We start from the raw sequence: 4,797 nt of genomic DNA on the forward strand, positions 1-4,797 counted from the left end.
TCATCCCAGACACCAGCCCTCTAGGAGACTATCTTCCAGTCCTCCAGCAGGCTAGACAGGAAATTCACCAGGCTGCTAATCTTCTCTTGCCTACTCCAGGTTCCCAGCCATATGAAGACACCCTAGCTGGACGATCAGTTCCTGTTAAGAGTCTGACCCCTCAAACTCTGCAGCCTCAATGGACCAGACCCTACCTAGTCATCTGTAGCACCCCAACTGCCATCCATCTGCAGGACCCCCCCACCCCCAGTTAGGTTCACTGTTCCAGAATAAAGCTGTGCCTGTCAGAGAGACAGCCTGATCTCTTTCTTTTCCTCCTGGAAGTCTCAAGTACTCACCCCTACTTCCCTTAAACTCACCTGCATTCCTAAAGGATAATAGTAACCCTTATAAGCCTAATACATCTTTTCATTTTTATTAGGTCTCTTCTTCCTTAGCCTGCTCTTTACAACAGGGCTTTATGCCTACCTCACTTGGACTGCGCCCCAAAAAGTTGTCATCCCTACTATCTTCTCTCTAGTCATACTCCTATTCACCATTCTCAACTACTCATAAATGCCCTGCCCCTGTTTACACTGCTGGTTTACACTTTTTCTCCAAACCATCGTAGCAAATATCTCCTGGTACTATCCCCAATCTGCCACTCTTGACTCCCTCTTGGAGTGGATAGATGATCTTTGCTGAGAGGGCACACTCCAATACTTTCACCGTGATAAAGTCCTATTCTTTACTTTTATACTCACTCTTATTTTTGTTCCCATTCTTATGCCACCCTCTACATCTCCCCAGTTATCTCCACCACACTATCAATCTCACTCACTCTCTCCAAGCCATTTCTAATCCTGCTTTAACGAACAATTGCTGGCTTTGCATTTCTCTTTTCTCCAAAGCCACGGAGGCCTCAACTCACTCACTGCTAAAAAAAAAAGACTGTATATTTTTAAATGAAGAGTGTTGTATTTACATAAATCAATCTGGCCTGGTATATGACAACATAAAAAAACTCAAGGATAAAGCCCAAAAACTCACCAACCAAGCAAATAATTACACTGAACCCCCTTGGGCACTCTCTAATAGGATATCCTGGGTCCTCCAAATTCTTAGTCCTTTAATATCTGTTTTTCTCCTTCTCTTATTCAGACCTTGTATCTTTCATTTAATTTCTCAATTCCCTCAAAATCACATCCAGACCATCACCAATCATTCTATACGACAAATGCTCCTTCTAACAACCCCACAATATCACCTCTTACCCCAAAATCTTTCTTCAGTTTAATCTCTCCCTCTCTAGGTTCCCACACCACCCCAATCCTGCTCAAAGCAGCCCTGAGAAACATCACCCATTATCTCTCCATACCACCCCCAAAAATTTTTGCTGCCCCAACACTTCACCACTACTTTGTTTTGTTTTTCTTATTAATATAAGGAGACAGGAATGTCAGGCCTCTGAGCCCAAGCTAAGCCATCATAACCCCTGTGACCTGCACGTATACATTCAGATGGCCTGAAGCAACAGAAGAACCACAAAAGATGACATTCCACCATTGTGATTTGTTCCTGCCCCACCCCAACTAATCAATTGACCTTGTTACATTCCCCCTGGACAATGAGTCACATGATCTCCCCACCCTGCACCTTGTGACCCTGCCCCTGCCCACAAGAGATAACCACCTTTAACTGTAATTTCCACTTCCTACCCAAATCCTGTAAAACTGCTCCACCGCTATCTCCCTTTGCTGACTCTCTTTTCGGACTCAGCCCCCTTGCACCCAAGTGAAATAAATAGCCTTGTTGCTCACACAAAGCCTGTTGATGGACTCTCTTCACACGGACTCTTGTGACAACAAGTTTATCTATGTTAACAAGCCTGAACATCTACCCCTGAACTTAAAAGTTAAAGAAAAAAAGAGTTTAATTTGGAGGAAGGAAAGAACAAGTAATGACATCCTCTGGCTCTGATGGCCTATGATCTCGTACTACCACTTCCAAATAAGAATCTTTTTTAGATTATTTTATATTCCATCACTGGCCCATACTATTACTACTGGCTCATAAAGGATCAAATAATTATACTTTTGAACATTCAGTTTTTGAACTGAATCAAATAATGTAAGATCTTAATGTACTTTATGTATGCATGTTTTATGAAATAGCCCAGAACAACAGATGTAAGTGCTATAAATTAGGCCAGGTTAAGAGGAGTCAAAGCTGGAAATTGACATACCTACTAGGACTCATGGGAATCCAGCTGCACTCCCAAACTGGCTTCTATGTCTCCTTTGAGAAAGTAACCACTTGGTCAAAAGCACATGTGTAATGTTTCATATACAAACTCCCATCTTGGCTATTCACAATGCACATTTGAATTTTAGAGACTGAGTAATTCCAACAAGGAAAGTCATTCAACTTTGTTAAATGATTTAAAAAAAATATGTAATGAACATTTTTTTCTTAATATTTTGCATTAAAATTAGTTTAGAAAGCACAGCAATATAGAGTTTAGGTTCCAGAACATGCTGGGAATTTCATATACTGTATTGTCACACAGGCCTAATACACTGAATTCAAGAAAAGTGTTGTTTCTTTATTAGTAGATACCATATTGATTTTAAAATGTGCATGCAAAAAAACTATGATCAACACTATTTAAACTTTTAACTTATTTGGGTCTAAGTACCTCAATATTTTTTATCTTAAGATTATATAGATGCTTTGAATTGTATTTGTTGTACTAAGTTGATCATGAATTATCTAATTTAATCTTAATGATAATCTTATAAGGTAGATAGTGGCATTCTCATTTTATTGATATTAAAGTCAAGATTTAGATAAATTATGACTTTTGAAAAAAATGGCAGATAGAAGGCAGGACTAAATTCCAGCTCCCACTTGGGAGGACAGAGCAGTGTTTGGATACCTGCAATGTGAGCTTTTGTTCCAGGAACTACTGAAAGAAGATATCAGAAAAGCTGAGAGAATCCACAGACCCTTTGAAGGAAGTGGATTTCTCCTGCAAGACCCAGTAGATAGCCTAAATACTGTCAGTGCCCATACTAAAAGTTGGAAAGGGGGATTGTCTGCCCCCAAACACACACCCTCACTGGAGAACCTGAAGGTCCAGATAACAGGGGAAGGATTTGACCTTACCTGGAGCTGAGACAATTTAAAGAGCCGAGAGAAATACAGGAGTAGAGGAAGCAATGGGAAAAGCCCTGTGGACTCTCTAGTTTCACAGGGAAGCCATTTCTGACTTGTCTCACAGGGGCCCTTGGGAAGGGCTACCAGAGTAACTGGGAAAAGACCACAGGGAGAAGGAAACCTCCAGCTGAACTTGTAACAATCCCAACTGAATGCAAAGTTTCCTGGCCAGAACTCAGGGGAGGACATGAATCCAGTGTGCAGGCACCACAGGCAGGGAGGTACAAAAGCCCTGCTTGCTTTCTCAGCCAGGAGGCTGGTAGCCTGGGGCAAGTTCTCAGCCCCACTGGCCCACTGCCTGGAAACAAACCTGGTGCTGTTAGGGCAGGGGGGCACAGTGGGAGTGAGACTGGCCTTTTAAGTTGCATGGGAGCTGGATGAAGCCTGTAACTGCTGGCTTTCCTCCCACTTTCCTGACAACCTGCATGGCACAGCAGAGGAAGCCATAATCCTCCTGGCAACATAACTCCATTGACCTGGGAACCACACCTCATGCCCCACAGCAGCCACAGGAAGACCTGCCCAAGGACAGTCTGAGCTCAGACATGCCTAGCCCCACCCTCACCTAATGGTCCTTCCCTACCTACCTTGGTAGCTGAAGACAAAGGGCATATTCTTTTGGGAGTTCTAGGGCCCCACTCACCACCTGATCCTCCCTATACTACCATAGCTGATATTCTTTTGAAAGCACCACCAACTGGCAGAAGGCCAACCAGGACAAAACTAGTGCATTAAACAACTACAACTAAGGACTCTCACAGAGTCCATTTCACTATCCTGCCATCTCCAATAGACCAGGTGCTGATATCTACAGCTTAGAGACCTGAAGACGGTTCACATCACAGGACTCTGTACAGACACCCCCCAGTACCAACCCAGAGCCTGGTAGACCTGTTGGGTGACTAGATCCAGAATATAAATAACAAATACTACAATTCAGCTCTCAGAAGGCCACATCCCTAGGAAAAGAGGGAGAGTACTATATCAACGAGCACCCCATGGGACAAAAGAATCTGAACAGCAGCCTCGTGCACCCAATCTTTCCTCTGACATAGCCTACCTAAATGAGAAGGAACCAGAAAAACAATTCTAGTAATGTAAAAAAAACAAGGTTCTTTAATATCACCCAAAAATCACACTAGCTCATCAGCAATGAATCCAAACCCAGAAGAAATCCCTGAATTGCCAGAAAAAGTATTGAGAAGGTTGATTATTAAGCTAATCAAGGAGGCACTAGAGAAAGGTGAAGTCCAATTTAAGGAAATTTTTTTAAAAAATGATACAAGATAGGAAGGGAGAAATCTTCAATAGATAGAGTAAATAAAAAATAATCACAACTTCAGGAAACAAAGGACATACTTAGAGAAATGCAAAATGTGCTGGAAAGTCAGCAATAGAATTGAACAAGCAGAAGAAAGAACTTCAGAGTTCAAAGACAAGGTTTCCAAATAACCCAATCCAACAAAGACAAAGAAAAAAGAATAAAAAGTAAATAAACAAAGCCTCCAAAAAGTTTGGGATTATGTTAAATGACCAAACATAAGAATAATCAGTGTTCCTGAGAAAGAAGAGAAATCTAAAAGTTTGAATAACATATTT

At 41.7% G+C, this 4,797-nt stretch overlaps 2 annotated features.

The window, feature by feature from the left end:
* Positions 3,091-3,592: an enhancer, noted in NCBI's record as "H3K27ac hESC enhancer chr17:52495411-52495912 (GRCh37/hg19 assembly coordinates)". NCBI's record gives its function as "activates a minimal SCP1, AML or CMV promoter by ChIP-STARR-seq in naive H9 embryonic stem cells {active_cell/tissue: H9 hESC(naive)}" and the evidence as "EXISTENCE:reporter gene assay evidence [ECO:0000049][PMID:30033119]".
* Positions 3,593-4,092: an enhancer, noted in NCBI's record as "H3K27ac hESC enhancer chr17:52495913-52496412 (GRCh37/hg19 assembly coordinates)". NCBI's record gives its function as "activates a minimal SCP1, AML or CMV promoter by ChIP-STARR-seq in naive H9 embryonic stem cells {active_cell/tissue: H9 hESC(naive)}" and the evidence as "EXISTENCE:reporter gene assay evidence [ECO:0000049][PMID:30033119]".

Source organism: Homo sapiens, chromosome 17 (assembly GCF_000001405.40).
Source record: "Homo sapiens chromosome 17, GRCh38.p14 Primary Assembly".
Classification (NCBI taxonomy): Eukaryota; Metazoa; Chordata; class Mammalia; order Primates; family Hominidae; genus Homo; species Homo sapiens.